At 44.5% G+C, this 20325-nt stretch overlaps 1 protein-coding gene across 1 annotated transcript in view, besides 6 other annotated features; it reads right to left on the minus strand.

The window, feature by feature from the left end:
* FAM174B (family with sequence similarity 174 member B) overlaps positions 1–20325 on the minus strand; it is a 38328-nt gene that overhangs the window by 13268 nt on the left and 4735 nt on the right. The window lies entirely within an intron of this gene.
* Positions 7862–8151: an enhancer, noted in NCBI's record as "active region_10113". NCBI's record gives its function as "activates an Ori minimal core promoter by ATAC-STARR-seq in GM12878 lymphoblastoid cells {active_cell/tissue: GM12878}" and the evidence as "EXISTENCE:reporter gene assay evidence [ECO:0000049][PMID:35858748]".
* Positions 8915–9014: an enhancer, noted in NCBI's record as "active region_10114". NCBI's record gives its function as "activates an Ori minimal core promoter by ATAC-STARR-seq in GM12878 lymphoblastoid cells {active_cell/tissue: GM12878}" and the evidence as "EXISTENCE:reporter gene assay evidence [ECO:0000049][PMID:35858748]".
* Positions 12909–13689: an enhancer, noted in NCBI's record as "H3K27ac-H3K4me1 hESC enhancer chr15:93186854-93187634 (GRCh37/hg19 assembly coordinates)". NCBI's record gives its function as "activates a minimal SCP1, AML or CMV promoter by ChIP-STARR-seq in naive H9 embryonic stem cells {active_cell/tissue: H9 hESC(naive)}" and the evidence as "EXISTENCE:reporter gene assay evidence [ECO:0000049][PMID:30033119]".
* Positions 13309–13428: an enhancer, noted in NCBI's record as "active region_10115". NCBI's record gives its function as "activates an Ori minimal core promoter by ATAC-STARR-seq in GM12878 lymphoblastoid cells {active_cell/tissue: GM12878}" and the evidence as "EXISTENCE:reporter gene assay evidence [ECO:0000049][PMID:35858748]".
* Positions 13690–14469: an enhancer, noted in NCBI's record as "NANOG-H3K27ac-H3K4me1 hESC enhancer chr15:93187635-93188414 (GRCh37/hg19 assembly coordinates)". NCBI's record gives its function as "activates a minimal SCP1, AML or CMV promoter by ChIP-STARR-seq in naive H9 embryonic stem cells {active_cell/tissue: H9 hESC(naive)}" and the evidence as "EXISTENCE:reporter gene assay evidence [ECO:0000049][PMID:30033119]".
* Positions 16810–17589: an enhancer, noted in NCBI's record as "OCT4-NANOG-H3K27ac-H3K4me1 hESC enhancer chr15:93190755-93191534 (GRCh37/hg19 assembly coordinates)". NCBI's record gives its function as "activates a minimal SCP1, AML or CMV promoter by ChIP-STARR-seq in naive and primed H9 embryonic stem cells {active_cell/tissue: H9 hESC(naive and primed)}" and the evidence as "EXISTENCE:reporter gene assay evidence [ECO:0000049][PMID:30033119]".

Consider the following 20325-nt stretch of genomic DNA (forward strand, 5'->3'; position numbering starts at 1 on the left):
ATTTTTTATATTATATAATTATATATTTTTTATATTATATAATAATATATAATAATAATATATTTTATATATTACATATTACATATTATATATATTTTATATATTACATATTATATATTATATATATTACATATTACATGTTACATATTACATATTATATATTATATATTACGTATTACATATTACATATTATATATTATATATTACGTATTACATATTACATATTATATATTATATATTACGTATTACATATTACATATTATATATTATATATTACGTATTACATATTACATATTATATATTATATATTACGTATTACATATTACATATTATATATTATATATTACGTATTACATATTACATATTATATATTATATATTACGTATTACATATTACATATTATATTATATATTACGTATTACATATTACATATTATATTATATATTATATAATAATTTATATATTATATTATATATTATATATATTACATATATTATATATTATATTATATATAATATATTATATATTATATTATATATAATATATTATATATTATATTATATATAATATATTATATATTATATATAATATATTATATATAATATTATATATAATATATTATATATTATATATAATATATTATATATTATATTATATATAATATATTATATATTATATATTATATTATATTATATATAATATATAATATATAATATAATATATTATATATATAACATAATATATATTATATATAATTTATAATATATTATATATATATATAATTCTTTTTTTTTTTTAAGATGGAGTCTCGCTCTGTCACCCAGGCTGGAGTGCAGTGGCGTGATCTCGGCTCACTGCAAGCTCCGCCTCCCGGGTTCACACCATTCTCCTGCCTCAGCCTCCCGAGTAGCTGGGACTACAGGCGCCCGCCACCACACCCGGCTAATTTTTTTTTTGTATTTTTTGTAGAGACAGATTTCGCCTGTTAGCCAGGATGGTCTCGATCTCCTGACCTCGTGATCTGCCCACCTCGCCCTCCCAAAGTGCTGGGATCACAGGCGTTAGCCATTGCACCCGGCCACAAACGCAATATTTTAAGAAGGCAAAATACATGCTTTAAAAAAAAAGCCCCAAAGATCAAGATGTCCAATGAGGACCGGGTTTGTCACAGCCTGACGCTTGAGGGCGCCGCCCTATAGGCCAGCCACGGGAGAGTTGGGTCAGAAACAGGCTGCTCTGTGCTTGTGTGATCAGGGGCAAGTCAGTTCATCTCCCTGAGCTTCCATTCCCTTACAAACCAGGTGAGGGAAAATTGCATGAGATGATGCAGTTAAGCCTGCACACAGCAGGCTCTTGGCAAAAGTCACTATTAGGGATGATAAATAAAGAGGAATTAAATACGCTACATCATTTCTCCTAGGTCAAGGGCTTGTGAAAATGAGTCAATTTTGTTTCCATCATGAGGATTCATGAGGAAAATGGTTACAACACTACAGTGTTCTGGTTTCGTTTTGTTGTTTTGTTTTGTATTTTAAAGACAGGCTCTCGGCCGGGTGCGGTGGCTCACGCCTGTAATCCTAGCACTTTGGGAGGCCAAGTCAGGTGGATCACAAGGTCAGGAGATAGAGACTATCCTGGCTAACATGGTGAAACCCTGTCTCTACTAAAAATACAAAAATTAGCTGGGCATGGTGGCATGTGCCTATAGTCCCAACTACTCAGGAGGCTGAGGCAGAGGTTGCAGTGAGCTGAGATTGCGCCACTGCCCTCCAGCCTGGGTGACAGAGTGAGACTCCATCTCAAAATAAAATAAAGACAGGGTCGCATTCTATCACCTAGGCTGGAGTGCAGTGGTGCAATCATAGCTCGCTGCAGCCTCAACCTCCTGGGCTTAAGCAATCCTTTCGCCTCAGCCTCCTGAGAAGCTGGGACTACAGGTGCACACCACCACAACCTGGCTGGGTTGTTTTTTTTTTTTCTATCTGTAGTAGAGACGAGGTCTTGTTATGTTGCCCAGGCTGGTCTCGAACTCCTGAACTCAAGCGATCCTCCCGCCTCAGCCTCTCAGAATACTGGGGATGACAGGCGTGGGACACCGTGCCAGACCTAACACTATGTTTTTACCTTTAGGATGGTAGAGGGTCACTGTGGGCTGCAGGGAAAGCACTGACAGAAGCCACTTCAGCCTCTAGCCTAAGACTCTCTGCACGAAGGCTGCGATATGTATCAGAACATGGCTGGAAGGTCTAGGACGCCACTGGGAATAACACTATTAGTGTGATGACTGACGTTCTTTGTGTTTGTTCCTCCACTCTCTTGAACTTTTTCCTAACTGCTTTATATTCACTGATGTCCCTCCTTTTTCAGAATATTTAATACTGTCTATGAGAAACCAGCCAACCCAGAAAGTCATAAACGGGGCACTGAAGAATCAGGTTCCCTACACATTCTTCTTGCTGACCATACGCTATTCCCGAGTGGAGACCACATCAAAGACACACGCGAGATCTCTTTGTCTTCAGCACGGAGAAACTCTCCAGTAAGTTGGCAAAATGAATGAAAACAAAACTTCACTTTCAGATTTTCTAAAAATTTCTTAGCAACAGCAACTTGGTCTTCTCTTAACTGATATGATTTACCAAAAACATTGTTTACCAAAGTGTCACGTCATGTCTTTGGCATAAAGCAACCTATACAACCCACAGCACCCACTTCTCATGGTTCCTTGGGTACGGAAAAGGAGTAAGATTTTGGAAGAGGGGGAACAATCAGCTGTAAAGTCTGATGATACCCAAGCCTTATCACAAAGCATTTTTCGTCTCTGCTTTCATCACCGGTATACACACACACGCACACACACGGACACACAGGCATGGGTGTGAATCTACCCGGATTCTGAACACAGGATAAAGCATGGTGCAAATGCCAAGCCTGGTGATAAGAGGATAAACCAAAGGGGCACACTGCCAGTCACCTTGCCAGTAGCCCTGGGACAACAGTATTTAGAAATCAAGCTTTGTGTGGGACTTAAATGCTACCTTTATAAACAGTTGGATCCACATTCTCTCCCCCAAGAGATACTTCTCTCCACCTCCCTCCAAAGGAGTAAAATAAATCTCTGCATTCTGCCCTAGATGACTTATAACCCCAGACCAATTCCATCTCAACACTGGCAGGGGGAAATTTAAGCCCAGAAGTGGATCCAAATGCCACAAGCAATCCAAGACAAAACCACATGAAAAACCACCCATCCTCAAGCCTTTGAGACTAGGGTCAAACTCCCGATCTACACGCCTTTCTCAGAAAGACAGCCCTAAATCTCTCTCCGGACAAGTTGCGGCTGTCTGGGAGGAGAGCTTGGCTTCTGCAAAGGGACAAGGCTGGGCTGTCCATTTCTGACACACAGCTAAACAAGCATCTGGAACGGGAGAAAAGAAATGTCCTTCAAACCCAAGGACATGAGAAAGTCCCCTGTGGACCCTCAAAAGGACACACCCAGACGGCTTCAGGCTGAGGAGTCATAGTCATGTTTGTGACTCTTTTTCAGGCACCACAAAGCCCAGAAAATGCAAAATTGGATTAGCAAACCTCATTGCATACTTGGAACTTGATGCCTCGTGTAGTCATTGGCCCTGGGGCAGGACTGATGGCTGACCCTGGGAGAAAGCTCCGGAGGCTCTGTCTTCAGCCCTAGCCCTGCCTCATGGGAGTGAATCCCTGACACCTATAAAATCACTTTCCTTCTCTATAATCTTATCATTCACGTATATAGAGTCTTACAATAAGAAAATGAGCCTGCTGAGCTAAAATAAGGCCCTTGAACCCCAACCCATAGGAGAAGGAGGAAAACTACGCTAGCATCCAGAACACTGTGGCCCATGATGCTTTAATGCCAGCCTCTGCAGCCAAGCAACCCCAGGAAATAAAAAATCCCAAGATTATATACCAAAGGTGTGATGGCTAATGCTCTGTGACAACTTGAGTGGGCCACAGGGTGCCCAGACGTTTGGTCACACTGTCTGCGAGGATGGCCCTGGATGAGATTAACAGTGGAATCAACGGGCTCTGAGTACAGCAGATGGCCCTCCCTAATGTGGGTGGGCCCCATCCATGCAGTTGAAGGCTTGAATAGAACAAAAAAACACAGCTTTCCCTCAAGGAGTGGGAGAACTCCTCCTGTCTAACTGCCTTCCAACTGGGACATCAGTTTTTTTCCTGCCTTGGGACTCAAACTAACACATCGGCTCTTTGTGAGTCTGCAGCTTGTCCGCATTTAGGCTGGACCTTATACCATCAGCCCTCCTGGGTCTCCAGCTTACAGATGGCAGATCTTGGGACCTGTCAGCCTCCATAATCACATCAGCTGATTCCTTACGATAAGCCTCTCTCTCTCTCTCTTTCTCTGTCTCTCTCTCTCTCTCCTCTCTTTCGCTCACTATCTCTCCACACACACCCACACACACACACACACACACACACACACCCTATTGATTCTGTTTCCCTGAAGAATCCAAATACAAAAGGCTATTAGCAAGAGTCCTCATGTATGCTTCAAATGCCAGTTTTGACATAATGAGCTGGAGAAATTACATTTCAAACAATCAACTCTCTGAAACACAACTCTCTTTACAAAAGAAGAGCAATTTCTGCTGTTTCCACTGCTGGGTGTGTTAATAGGGATAAAACTGAGACTGCTGAGAAGTTTAAAGACATCGAGACACGTTCCCAGCTGTGGTGCACCGGCTGTGTTGACAAGGGTCTTCGCGGATGGTAGCAGGAAACCTCATAGCGTATAAATGGAGTTGAGGGTGCAGGGACAGGGAAGTGGGATTGAGGGTGCAGGAAATCTTCACATATTTCTTTCTTTTTTTTTTTTTTTTTTTGAGACAGAGTCTCGCTCTGTAGCCCAGGCTGGAGTGCAGTGGCACAATCTTGGCTAACTGCAACCTCCACCTCCCAGGTTCAAGCAATTCTCCCTGCTCAGCCTCCAGAGCAGCTGGGATTACAGGCGCCTGCCACCATGCCCAGCTAATTTTTGGATTTTTAGTAGAGATGGGTTTTCGCTATGTAGGCCAAACTAGTCTTGAACTCCTGACCTCAGGTGATCTGCCTGCCTCAGCCTCCCAAAGTGCTGGGATTACAGGCATGAGCCACCGCACCCAGCACATTTCTCAAATTAAAAGGAGAATTCTTCCTTTACTAACTATGCACCAGTCAGAAGCCGGGAAATTTAGGAACAGAGCCAATCAGCATTTTCCACATACCTTCAGATCCGCAAGCCTGTCTGAACAGTGGGCTCAGAGAACAGTGCAGTTCTGCCTCAGAGAGAGAGAAAACGTGAGAAAATGGGAAAATAGAGTGCATTCGAAGCCTAAAAACCCTAACCAAGTCTGGCTCTCTCTTCTCTAAGTGTAGATTCTTTAACGTGTCTTTTAAAATAATAGTCCATAAGGCTGGGCACAGTGGCTCACGCCTGTAGTCCCAGCTACTTGGGAGGCTGAGGCAGGAGAATCACTTGAACCCAGGAGACGGAGGTTGCAACAAGCCGAGATCTCGCCACCACACTCCAGCCTGGGTGACAGAGTGAGACCCTGACTCAAAATAATAATAATAATAGTCCCTAAAAGTTTAACTTTTCCTGGGTGCCAGCTAAGCGATTTAAATTTGTGATCAAATGTAAAACATCTAAAGCACGCTTCAAGGCATGTGCTGCTGGTATCCCTGTCTAACAACTGAGGAGACTGAGGCTCAGGGAAGCCGACTTGCCCACAGCCATGTAGCTAATCAGTGGCAGAGCTAGGGTTTGAAGCAGGCAGTCCAGTGACCAGGAGACTTTCAGTGGGGCCTCCTTCCCACGTGGGTGAGTGAAAGTGCCGCACAACTACCCATGGTCTGAAATGTGCCGCGGAGATAGGCTGCATGGGGCTTGAGAGTATAGACTGGAAGCAACTCGGGAAAATCACAGGGCATAGTGAGCACATATGACCCCTGAGAGGGCCAGGGGGTGCTCCAGCTGAGACCTCCCCAACAGGTCGCCTTGAGTCATCCCTGGTATGCCCTGCTCTGTCACCCCCACTCACTCCCATCCAAGAGCCCCACTCCACGCCTCACCGGAGTTCGCAGCCACTTGACTTTAGCGCCAAAAAACTCTTTGCCCTCCCTCATCACACTCTGGAATGTGTCACTTTGCACAGCTCACATTTTCATATTCCACACTAATCTGGACACACTTCTAACAAACCCTTCCTAAACTGTGACTCCCTCAGGTGTGCTGGTTTGCAGCCAGCCCACGCCCACTTCCTCCCTCCTTTTGGCATCTGTATCCTCTGTGCCCTGGGTGAAGCCCCTCCCACATGGGCCTGGCCACACCCCCAGTTCCAGGAGTGGACGTGAGCCTGGAGCCTGAGCCAATCCAGGCATTGCTACCCCCCAGGCCATGGCAATGGCAGAGGAGCAGGGCAGTGGGCAGGGGAAGGCACGACCAACCCGAGCCAATGACTCTCTGCTGTGAAGGCTGGAACAGGGCAGGTGGGTGTCCCTCCCACTGGCCTTGAGGCCCAGATGACATAAGCCATCATGCCACCATCTAGAAACAGAAAGTAAAGGCAATATGGTAGAGGGCAGATTGGAAAGAGAGAGACCAAGTCCTAAATCGACTACCAAGCCAGCTCTCCTTAAAAACTACAAGGCTACTCTCTCTTTCACCAAAGCCAGCCGGGGCCAGGTTTTCTGTCACACACACAACCTAGCAAACCTTAACTGCCTCGAGGTCTCAGGGAAGGCACTGCACGAAGGGAAACCACCACTGTAATCACAACACCTTCCTGGGGCTTTTTCCACATTTTAATAGTTAGCCTTCCATATGTAAGTATAATTTTCCTATATCCTCAAGCCTGTTTAAACCCCAGGACTCTGCCCCTTATAGAAACAATGAACCACACACACAGAAGCAGAGTTGACATTTTTTGCTTAGGGCTACCTGTAAGCAGGCTTTCAATGAGGACAAACAACCGGCAACTGCACCTCCCAGAACTGCCATGAGCCTGAGGCAAAGGCAGAGACTACACGGCTGTGATGAAGCTGAAATCCCCTGGGTCCATTCGTGGGCAGTGGGCCAGCCTTGGGGACAGGGCCCTCATTTTACTCAAAGACACACGCAGCTCAAGGACAAAGCACCTGGTTCTAGAAAGAGCCCAGGTTTGCAATCAGACTTGGGTTCGCAGCCCAGTGCCCCCACGTCCAGAGCCTGTCCCCTCAGCTGTGTACTGGGTGGTGCTGGGGGCCAGTGGGACGGCAGCCTACAAGGACAGACCAGCTAGCACTCCCCATCAAAGAACGAACTTTGGGAAATAAAGAAGTGAAAAGACTGCTGGCCCATCTTCCACAGCAGGAATCTTTCTTTTCTGAGATAGGCTACTGTTAACCAGGAGGCCTCAACCTGGTTGAGATGTAAAGTGGTCCTTTTATTAATAAATAAATGTCCATATTGTCTTCACAGGAATAGGCAAGGCCAGATAATTTCTAGAAGAGATAAAGCACCCTTCCATCCGAACCAAAACTCATTTCTAACAAGAGAGAGGAGAGGTTCAAAATTCTTTTAGTCTGAAATATAATCCTGAAGCCAGAGGGTTTGTTTACTCAATGGACTGTTCACCAGCTGCTCAGAAACAGGTTTCGTGTGAGTGCTCATACGTCCCACTTATACAAACAAGGAGGCCGAGGGAGGACACCAGGCCCTGGCAGCCTACAGAGGGGGAGGCCTTCCTTCCTCGCCCTCACCCACGAAGAGAATAAAACAGGACTAAACCCTTTAGACTCAGTTCAGTTTTGAGTGTGACAGTCAGAGCCACCAACTCAAAGTGCAGCGACTGAGGTTCAGGGGTCAGCCCTGCAATTCCCCTGTTGGTGTGCTTCTGAGCAAGCCTCTCGTCATGAACCCGAATTTCTTCATCCATTTCTACTTCCTGCCAGGTGTGGTCCGGGTTCTGATGACACAGCCTCTAACACTTCTCACTCTACTTACTCCAGGGGGCCACAGGCTTTCTCACTTCTCCTGAGGCCATTGCAGGACATCGCAACCAGGCTGGGTTTTCTCCTTCTTCCGAATCCTGCAGCCCCTCTTCATAGGCACATCCCTGCCACGGGGCACTGTCTACACATGACCTCCAGGCACACAGGCCCCTCCTGCGTCATCCACAGCACTGGGGTGACGGTACCAGCAGGCACTGTGAGGCGACAACCCTGAGTGCCAGCTAATGCACATGTGATCTCATCACAGCCTCCCGCCAGTGAGGCAAGGAGGGCTCCCATTATCAAGGCAAGGAAACCAAGGCCAGAAGGCACTGAGTGACCTGTCCCAGGAAGCAAGCAGAGCTCGAATCCAGATGCATCACACTCCACAACATGAGCCCTTCACACTCCAACAAGAGGGTAGGAACTCACCTCGGACCTCTGGATGTGCCCCAACCCTACGACTCGGCATTCAACAGACACTTCTCAGGACCCAGAGGTGCCCCTGCAAGTTCTTTTGGTTGCCAGCCAGCTCCCGCGATAACCAAAAGCAACCAAAACAAGCTTGTGTCAACAGAAGGAGGGCACGCTGCGCCTCTGACTAGGAAGTTTCAATCTCATAAAGATTTCAAGCCATCTAAATTAATCTGCAAGCTCAGTGAAATGCAGTAAGATACCGACCAATTTCTGCTGGGGATCTAAATGAGCTGATTCCAAAATTCATGAGGATGGGAGAAGCAGCAAGAATGGAATAGCCATGAAAATTCTATAAAGGAGTTAGATTAGTAAAACATGCTGTAAAACTACAATAACTGAACACAGTGTGATAAGGTTTGGAACTGTGTCCCCAACCAAATCTCATGTTGAACTGTAATCCCCAGTGCTGGAGGTGGGGCCTGGTGGAAGGTGACTGGATCATGGGGGTGGGCCTTCATGAACGGTTTGGCACCATCCTCTTCGCGCTGTTCTTATGATAGTGAGTGGGTGAGTGCCTGAGAGATCTGGTGGTTTAAAAGTGGGTGATACCTCCCGCCTTGCTCTTTCTCTTGCTCCTGCTCCCACCATGTGAGTGCCTGCTCCCCTTTGCCTTCCACCATGATTGGAAGCTTCCTGAGGCCTCCCCAGAAGCAGAAGCTGCTATGCTTCCTGTACAGCATGCTGAACCATTAGCCAATACCCAGTCTCAGGTATTTCTTTATAGCAGTGCAAGAACAGACTAATACACAGTGGCATCCCACACTAACAATCAGATGCTATAGCAGAATAGAAAGTCCAGAAATACACCCAAATACACACTGGAATCTAGTATAGGATAAAGATGGCATTTCAAATGAGTGAGAAAAAGGTAACTCATTAAATATTTTGTTGATAACCACCCATATCTCACACTTTGTATCAGCATAAATTAGACGGATCAGACTTAAATGTAGAAAATAAAACCATAGAAGTACTAGAAGAAAACATGGGAGAAATCCAAAATCCATTTTTTTAAAAAAGGATGATAAATGTAAACACATAAAAATGTCTTAAAGTCAAGGTAAATAGGCGGGGAGCAGTGGCTCACACTTGTAATCCCAGCACTTTGGGAGGCTGAGGTGGGCAGATCACCTGAGGTCAGGAGTTCGAGACCAGCCTAGCTAACATGGTGAAACCCCATCTCTACCAAAAATACAAAAATTAGCCGGGCATGGTGGTGGGCACCTGTCATCCCAGCTATTCGGGAGGCTGAGGCAAGAGAATTGCTTGAGCCCATGAGACATAGGTTGCAGTGAGTGGAGATCGTGCCACTGCACTACAGCCTGGATGACAAAGTGAGACTCCATCTCAAAAAAAAAAAAAAAAAAAAAAAAAAAAAAAAGTCAAAGGAAATGATATACTGGGAGAACTATTTCCAACTCATCATAAATTTTGGTTTTTGTTTTTTGGTTTTTGTTTTTTTTTAAGACACAGTCTCACTCTGTCACCCAGGAGTGCAGTGGCATGATTTTGGCTCACTGCAACCTCTGCCTCCCAGGTTAAAGTGTTTATCCTGCCTCAGCCTCCCAAGTAGCTGGGATTACAGGCACACACCACCACACTCAGCCAATTTTTGTATTTTTAGTAGAGATGGGGTTTCACCATGTTGGCTAGGCTGGTTTTGAACTCCTGACCTCAAGTGATCCACCCGCCTCAGCCTCCCAAAGTGCTGGGATTACAGGCATGAGCCACCGCGCCTGGCTAACATATTATAAATGTTTTAAAATTTAATCTCCTTAATATATATATAGTCCCTAAAAACCAATAAAAAAGATCAATAATCTAATTGAAAAACTGGTAAAGAACATAACACAGGCAGTTCACACACACACACACACACACAAACCTAAATGGCTCCGCATTCTTAACTATGAAAAAATGTCCAATCTCACTTTCAATAAGATAAATGTAATTTTGATCTTCACAGAGATTCAATTTTTCACCTATTAATTTAGCAAAAATAGAAATGTCTGAAAACACACTGTTGGCAAGGATGTACAGAAACACTCTCTCATTACTTGTTTGTGGACATGTAAATTGTTACAACATATACAGAGAGCAGTGTGACAATATCCATCAGTTACAAAAGGTATAGCCCTTAGTCGGCAATTCCATTTCTAGGAATTTGTCCTACAGGTATGTTTCCACATGTGTGAAATGACACCTACATGCCCATTAACAGAAGACTGATTAAATAAATTATGTTACATCCATATAATGAACACTAAGCACCTATATAAATGAATGAAGAGCTTTTTAGGAATAACCACTCAGACACACAAGATATTTTTATAAAGCAAGGTAAAAAGCATAGTGTATGTGTAAGAGATAGAAAAGATATCCACATGCAAAAGAATAAAGTTGGACTCCTATAAATCATCTAAAAAAATTAACTCACACAATATACAAAAATTACCTCAAAATGGAACTTACATATAAGTATGTAAGACTTATATGTAAGAGCTAAATTTTTAGAAAAAAATAGCATAAATCTTTGCGACACTAGATTAGACAATGGCTTATTAAATATGACACCAGAAGCAAAAGCAACAAAAGAAAAAACTAGATAAATTGGACTCATCAAAATTTAAAACTTTTGTGCTTCAAAGAATATAATCAAGAAAGTGAAAAGACACCCCCATAGAATGGGAGGAATCACTTGCAAACTATACATCTGATCAAAGTATTTTTATGTAGAATATATGAAGAACTCTTACCCATCAATAATAAAAAGACAAATAACCCAATGTAAAATGGGCAAAAGACCTGAATAGACAGTTCTCAAAAGAAGATTTACAAATGCACAATACACGAAGGCAAACAAGGTCAACATGACTAGCCATCAATGCATTGCAAATTAAACACACAACGAGATACCACTTTATACCTTAGGATGGCTATAAGCAAAAAGACAGACAATAACAAATGTTGGTGAGGATATAAGAAATCATAACCCTCATACACTTCTAGTGAGATGTAAACTAGTACAGCAATTTGGAAAACCATTTGGCAGTTTGTCAAAAGGTTAAACATGGAGTTATCATATGACCCAGCAATTCCACTCCTAGGTGTATATTCCCAAGAGCCATCAAAATACATGTCCACACAAAAACTCATATACTTGTTCAGAGCAGCATTATTCATAATAGCCCCAAAAAGGAAACAACTTAAATACCTGATATGGTTTGGCTGTGTCCCCACCCAAAGCTCATCTTGAATTGTAGTTCCCATAATCCCCATGTGTTGTGAGAGGGACCTTGTGGGAGGTGATTAGATTATGGGGGTGGTTCCCCCATGCTGTTCTCATGATAGTGAGTTCTCACAAGATTTGATGGTTTTATAAGGGGATTTTCCCCAATCCACTTTGCACTTCTCTCTCCTGCCACCATGAGGACATGTTTGCTTCCTCTTCCGCCATGATTATAAGTTCCCTGAGGCCTCTCCTGCCATGCAGGTTTAACTGTGAGGCAATTAAACCTCTTTCCTTCATAAATTTCCCAGTCTCAGGCAGTTCCTTATAGCAGCCCCTGAGAACAGGCTACTACAATATCTATCTATTGATGAATGGGTAAATAAAAGATGGTATACCCATTCGATGGAACATAACGGCAATAAAAAGAAATGACACATGCCACACATAGATGAACCCTGAAAACACTGTACTAAATAAAATAAGCTATTCACAAAAGACCACACATTGTATGGTCCCATGTATATGAAAGACCAGAAAAGGGAAATCTATACACAGAAAGAAAATTCAGAGACACATAGAGATTAACTACTATGGATTCATGGTTTCAGTCTGGAGTGATGAATGTATTCTAAAATTGATTTCAGTGATAGATGCACAACTCTGTAAATATACTAAAAACCATTGAGTTGGACACTTTATTTGTTTTTTTTTTTTAAGAGAGGTGGGGTCTGGCTATGTTGACCAGGCTGGTCCAAACTCCTGGCATCAAGCAATCCTCCCATCTTGGCCCCCAAAGTGCTAGGATTACAGGCATGAGCCACCATGCCTGGCTGGGTTGGACACTTTAAATGAGTGAATATAGTATATAAGTTATATCTCACCAAAGTCATTATAAGAAATAGGGAAGGAATGTGTGTGTGTGTGTGTGTGTGTGTGTGTGTGTATGCATGTATATATTACACTCACTTGCTTCTATATTTATAAAATCTCCCTGGAAAGATTTGACAAGAAATTGACAACACAAAGTGAAGAAAACTGTGTGGCTAAAAGGTAAGAATACTTTTTGCTATATGCTCTTTTGTTCTTTGTGAATTTTGAACCATGTGAATATATGACCTAATTTAAAACCAAGTATATAAATACAATTCAATGTAAATCATTAAAATAAATTTTGAAATGGAGTAAGTCTGTGTCAGGCTGCCCCTCTGGCAGGAGACCCTTCTCCCAGGGCCCACCCATGGCTGACTCCATGTGGCTTTGCCCGGCTATCCTGGTGACTTCAGAACCCAAACTCAGTGACTCAAACCTTTCCTCCACCTGGAGGAAATGGAAATAGTGGGCTGTTTCCATTTTTAAGCCCACTAAAGTAGTTCTGTAGCCCAAGGACCAGCGTTCTGCCAAAACCATATTACTTGTCAATGAACAGCACACGTGAACTCTGACATTTGGAAAAAGTAATCAAGAAAATGAAAATGGATCATGGGAGAGGAAGACTGAAGCACACAGGTGCCGCCAGTGTAGACAGGAGGACTAGCAGGCGACCCTGAGCCAAGCGGTCCCTCCAATGCTCTGAGGACACAGACCTGTTTCGCTTTTACCCTCTGAGCTCTACGCTGCACCTCCTCCTCAGGACATAAGAAGTAACAGAGCTTCCCCCAGAAAACCAGCTACACTTGAAGAAATGAAGAACATGACTCAGAACCCACTCTTCAGCCCTAGCCTCTGCCCCACCCTGTAAGGAAGCAGGTGTTGGAGGCCCCTGGACAATCAACAGGCTAGCCAGGGTCTCACCACCATGGCCTGCCACCAAGACACATTCCCAATAACCAGCCTACCTCCCTTTCTGCCCTGGGCACAGCCCTCTGAGCTCCACCCGACACCTTCCACCTAGAGCATTTTCGACAAGCCACTGAGAGGCAAACACCGGTGTGATAGAAATCTCATCTTACTCCACTGCAGATGGGCCACTTCAGACAAATAAGTCACATGAGGCAAAAGCATTTTCCTCTAGTGCAGCAAGAGCCTCCAGATCTCCAGCAGCCAAGCTCCAACACCATCCAGCTCCGGCAGAACCCTCCCCAACACAGAGGCTGGGGAGACCCTGGATGCACCCTCGCCTCACCCCTGTCCTAGGGCACCCCCTCCCCACCACGCTGCAGCCCCTCAGTTCCAGCACCCAGCACCCAGTCACCAGTCAAGCACCATGGCTCAACATACCAGGTCAATAACTCAAATGCCCCAAGGCCTTGTAGACAAAAGAAACCAGAGCAGCAGGACTGCTGAGACCTAAACAAGGGAACAAACAACAGTGACAAGTGGTGGACAATACTCTGTCTTCAAGTCAAAAAGGCACAAATAGCGGCACCCTGCCCAGCCTAGGTGGAGTGGCAGCCACCAAGCTCCTGCCCGGCTGCCCCGGAACAGAGGTCTTGCACTTCCATGTATCCCCACCTGTCAAAAGAAGGAGGAAATCTAGATTTTTATATAAAGGCTCCTAACTTTTAAGTGTTCTCAACTATCTTAGTTTTTAAAACACTGTGCAGATCAAAAAACAAAACAAATGTCTGTGGGCCACATTTTTCAGCCCCAGGCCATCAGTTTACCATCTCTGACTTGGTTCTCTGACCATGGTTCATTAGGTCCTACGTGCCAAGCATGAGTGATATTTAGTAACTCAGCTCAAAATCATGAGCCCAGAGAGATGTAATGATATGCACGTTCCACTAAATCCTTCCTTATCTCTGTTCACCAACAGTTCAACCATGACTAAGGAGTATTGACCATTATTTATATAATCTAGCTGCTTCCTCTACCTCCTGGGCACCATCCCATTGGGGTTAACCAAGTGTTAGCACTGTTGGTTGACCCCAGGATGGGCATGCAGCACACAGCACAGACCGTGCCCCTGGGGGCTTACGCTTCATAGAGGATCATCCAGCATGGGCCAGACAACCCTGAAGAGCTCAATGACAAGTCTTCAGGTTTTTCTTCATTACACTAAAGTGTTTAGCCTCCATCTGCTCCCCATCCTGTTTCTCTTTCCCTCTCTCAGTCCCTGAGGGATAAATCCAATGCTTACTCTTCCAAGACAAAAGCAGCACACAGTAAATCCGGCAACAGCAAATGCCCCAAGACCTGTTCCTCCAGCTCTCGGGTGTGTTTGCAAAGGGTTGGTTCTGCTTTGTTTTTATATAAGGGGCCAGGGAAGGGAAGTGAGGTTTAAAGCAGAGAAGGTAGCCCCTAGGGGCAGCCCCATGGGGTCAAGGACAGCGGCAAGATGACCCAGAGGGGCCCTTGGTGGACCCAGGGGACCTGACCACCACCTGGAAACTCTGAGGTCACAGTGCTTTGGGGCACATGTCGTAAGGGGCCCTTTCAGTACCACTTATCCCTGCCACCCAGGTAGGGGAGGGTGGGAATGTCAGTCCTCACCACCCACTCCTTCTAGGCAGATGCTCCCAATGCCCCTCCACCCAGCCCCAAGGCCCAGCTGCATGGCTGGAGTTTTCATGAGCAAGTTTCACCTGTGAGTCCTCTTCTTCCTCACCAAACCTATCCCTTTCCCTGCCTGGTCACCCCCTTCACAATGCCCCCCTTCTCTATGCCCTTCAGGACAGCCTGACACTTTCCTCTTTCTCCTCTTCATCCATTCAGGCCTCCAGTCCTCCCAAGTGGTCCTTCCAGCACCTTCCACGGGTCTCCCCAGACATCCTGCACCCCCCACACCAGCCACGTCACTATTCATGCATTCTTGGTAAATCCTTGGTACAACCTGATCTGGACCAACATTTCTAGAGAAGCCCTGTGATTACTTCACTCTTGTATTAAAATCCTCCATTTGCTCCTCTCACCCACTACAAATCTCCTAGTCCTCCAGCTGGAATTGGCTTCCAAAATCCAGCTGCAATGGGAAGGGTGAGGCGGACTCCTCCCCTTCCCCAGCTGCTCATCCTTGAGCAAGACACTTCAACAACTGAGCCTTGGTTTTCTCATCTGTGAAATGGGGATGATAAACCAAAATTGAAATTCTAAGCCCCCCAACCATCTGAATGAACCCCTCCTCTCAGCAAGGCTATTGACAGCAATTTGGAATCTCAGCAGTGCCAAAGCTAACCCGAAAAACTAATTCAGGCCATGATGGGAAGGGTGGGGGGTTGGACATACCTGATTCTACCCTCCTCCCTTTTGGATTTATTGATAGACCCTCTAAGTCTGACAAGAAACATTTACAATCTATTCTCTCCAAAGCCTGCCACCTGGAGGCTTCGCCTGCATAATAAAACCTTGGTCTCCACACCCACTTATCTTAACCCAGACATTTCTAAGTTTTAGACAATAACTTAACTCTTTCAACCAACTGCCAATCAGAAAATCTGTGAATCTACCTATGGCCTGGAAGTTATCCCCCCTTCCACTTATCCTGCCTTTCTGGACCAAACCAATGTACATCTTACATGTATTTGATATCTCATGTCTCCCTAATATGTATAAAACTAAGCTGTACCCCAACCACCTTGGGCACATGTTCTCAGGATCTCCTGAGGGCTGAGTCATGGGCCAGTGGCCACTCATATTTGGCTCAGAATAAATCTCTTTAAATATTTTACAGAGCTTGACTCTTTTTGTCGACAGGACTGACAGTGCACCACTCATAGGAGTGAGGAAAACATATAAAATGCTTATCACAGAGTCCGTTACACAGTAAGGGCTTAATAAATACTAGTTGCTATTATTGTCATCAACATCACAATTTCCAAGTGATTTCACAAACCCTACCCTCAGCAAAGCTTGCTTCACCCATCTGGTCCTGGAAGAACCTCTTCTTCCTCCCATCCTGCCAAGTCCTAATCGTCCTCCTCCTCCACCATGCCTTCCCAGACCATTCTGGTCCCTGACCCATCCTTTCTCAGTTTACCTAGCATTGCTTTTAATACATGGCTCCCCTGTGGGATTGGACGGCTCCTTATCTGCCAAGTAGAATCATTCAAGCCATAAGCCAAAAATAAAATTCTAAGCCCCCCAGCCAGTTGAAGAGACCTGGCCAAGAGGACCCCAGAGAAACCTGAAAAACTAAATTCCAGGCCTAGACAAGAAAGGAGGTCAGACACGCCACATTATACCCCTCCCTTTTGGAGTTTAGGCACAAATGACCAGCATTAATAATGAAATAGAGATCATAAGACTGGCAAAACAAGGCTCTTTGTGGCAATAAGATACCAAATTCCAACCTGATTCTGTGTAGCATCACATGACAGACAGCAGGCCCTGAAGGAAATGAAATTTTACCCAAAAATGTCTGTGACATGGTTTGAAATGGCCCTGCAAAGCCATCTTTTGTGGGAAAATTTTTGCATCTATAGAGAATCTTCATTAATGCAGCTAGGCCTTTGGTGGATCTAGGAGAGATTAACTAAAAGTCTGGCACCTTTTAAGATCTGAAAAGAGGCATTTACCATCTATTCTCTCTGAAGCCTGCTACCTGGAGGCTTCATCTACATAACAAGAACCTTGGTCTCCACAACCCCCCTTATCTTAACTCAAGCATTCCTTTCTATTGACTTCAAGTCTTCAGACAAAGCTTAACTCTTTCAAGCAACTGCCAATCAAAACCTCTTTGAATCTGCCTATGGTCTATAAGCCCCACTTCAAGAAGCCCTGCCTTTCTGGGCTGAACCAAAGTAAACCATCCATATATTGATTCATGTCTTTGCCTGTAACTTCTATCTCCCTAAAATGTATAAAACCAGGCTGAAACCTGACCACCTCGGGCCCACGTTCTCAGGACCTCTTGATATTGTTCCCCAGGTCAATATGGTCACTCATATTGGCTCACAATAAACCTCTTTAAATATTTGTAGAGTTTGGGGTTTTTGTCAACAAAGGGCATTATCCTATGCCTTAGATTGAGCTGGATGGTCCTTGACCTCTGATGTGTTCCATGGCACCTCTATGTTCACAGTGGGTGCTAATTAAACACCCTGGGAAGAACACTGTTTACTCAGCCGTGTTTGCTCCTAGGTGCTGGGTTCAGTGTTGGGGAGACCTCGCTGGACAGGGCCAAACTCAGCCCACCACATCTTGGAGGTCCAAAAAGGGCCAAGCTGAGCATCCAAGCCCCTAGGTTTAAGTCCTATTTTTCCTACAAACTCACTCAGTGACCTTCACCAAGCCTCCCCACTCTGGGCCTCAGTTTTCTCATCTGTACAATGAGTGTAGGGAGGTAGGCGGAAGGAGCTCTGAATGCAAAGAAACGCCTACCTGAGAGGGAGGGGTCTAGAAGGGCTCTGCCAGGCCTACAAGAGCCCTGCCCAAGCACTTTGCCATGGTCCCTCCTCTGTGCCACACCTGCCCGTGAGAAAGGGTTTCCTCCTCCCCGCACCCTCAGGAAAATAAATAGCAAATCTAGATTCCTGGCAGATTGCCCTTAGATTAAGTATAGTTTATTTTTTAAGTGAAACAATAATAACATGATCCTAAATTCATGGTCCCAGGATTTCCCTTTGCAAATGGTTAGACCCAAAACCTCAGTCATAAAACTAAAGTACTAACACAATCCATGAAGGCTTCTTTGCTTAAATCCAGGAGTGTTTCCCTCTCTTGACACTCGCCCTACAGGATGCTCTACAGATACTGACATTGGAGTTCCCTTAGTCCCCACTGCTTACCCTAGATTTGCCTGGTGTCTCAAGAAGAACCTGCATTTGCAAAGACACCCATACACAAAGCCTACATGGGCATGAAAGTCTATGGGTAATGCCATATAAGTCAGGAGGCTCAGGCTTAAATTAAAGAGGGATTTTCTTCCCTTTCCAATTTGATAGAAGGAATCCACGTCAGGTGCCAGGTCTTCACAGTCCTGTTAATGGGGGCAGTCATGAGGCGCCTCCTTCATCAGGGAATTGAGTAGTCAAGGAGGCTCACTTGGGCTAAAGAGTCAGCAATTTCATTTCAAAGAGCCTCAGAAACAGATGCACCTGCCTGATAATTGTGGCCATATGGCTGCATCCTCATTTATGGACAGAAGCAAGACCAAAAGGTTGGGTGTAAATTACATCTGTTTTCAGAATCGTATTTTTCAATATAATAGGACACTTGACTGCTTAAAGGGGAGCCAGAGACTTAGTTGACACAATCTCATTCTAAACCTGCAATAGCCCTTGGAAGCATGTACTCTAATTAATGATGAGAAATGGTGCCCAGAAAGGTTCAATAAACTGCCCATATCAGACAACCAGCAGGCCTTGAAGCCGAGATTCTCGGCATCTCTCAACTCTGGCACCCTTGACATTTGGGGCTCCCCATCCTGACAATCCAAAATGTCTCCAGATATGACCAAATAACACCAGGAGGCAAAATCCTTCGGCTTGCTCTCTACTCTCTTTTTTAAAGAATCTGGATTTTGGCTGTATCCGATTTGCTTAACACTTCTTCACTGTGGCATATAATATCAAACATGAAAGAAGATGAACATTTGTCACTTCTATAGTTTTTTCCTTCAATTCAAAGCCTTGGGGAAGCAATGAGAAACGACCGACTGATGCTAACAAGTCCCACAACCTCTCTCAAATCAAAATGGGGCTGGACCTTCTAACCATGGCTCCACCCAAAACTCCAATTTACTAAAATAATATTGATATACCATGAAATAATAAGCAATGACAAAAAAATTTTTAAATGGTAACTTTCCCTAAATGCTAAAAGTATTAAGCTTTTATATTTTCTTTTAAATAACTTTTCTTATAACAAATGTAAATACACACACAATAGAGAATTTAGGAAATACAAGATAAGTAGGAAAGTTCTCGTTCCTTTTCAAAGACCTGGCTTAGTAAAATTAACAAAGCATCTGTGGTTCCAATGTCTTCAGGGCATAGCAGTGTGCACCTTTCCCACTGACAGCTGGGCAATGTCAGACCGCTTAGAATTCAACCTCCCGATCCCTCGGGAAGCACCAAAAAGAAGCCTCCTTTCAGATAAGAGGATTTTACAGAGATTTTGAAGTAAGAAGTGGCTGGGCATGCAGCCAACAGACATCTAGAGAACTGGAGCCTGCACCGTGGAGTTCGGAGACTCTCCAAGACTGGGAAAGGATCCCCAGGATGAAAGGAACGTTGTGGTTTCGAGGTGGCAGGGTTTTCCTGACTTGCCCCCGCTCTGCTCATGAGACACCAGAGCGTAAAGTCAGATTCCTTCCAGAACTCAGACAATAAAGTGTTCTGAGTGAATGTAGGGGGCAAAAGGTACTGATACCAGCAGTCCTTGGCTTATGTGTATTATCCTGAATCCATGCAACATCACCAGTTGTTTCCCAATACCAAAAAATTAGGAGCAATCACAGCTTTCTACTTCCTAGAGACAGCCTCTTTGCTGATTCCCTTTCAGCTCCCATAAACCTGCCAAGTAGCAGACCCAGGGGGTTCACCACACCAGGTACCTGTAGGACCACTCTCACACATGTGAAGGTACCCAACAAAGGGCCCTCGGTCTCCAGCCAGCTTTCCCTCCTTCCGATTTTTGTCTCCTGTCTAAAAATGGTTTGCCTTAATGATGAAATACATTTAAAAAGGTGGACGTGATTCTACAGATGGGGAAATCAGATTGATTAA

The sequence above is a fragment of the Homo sapiens genome, chromosome 15 (assembly GCF_000001405.40).
Source record: "Homo sapiens chromosome 15, GRCh38.p14 Primary Assembly".
Lineage (NCBI taxonomy): Eukaryota > Metazoa > Chordata > Mammalia > Primates > Hominidae > Homo > Homo sapiens.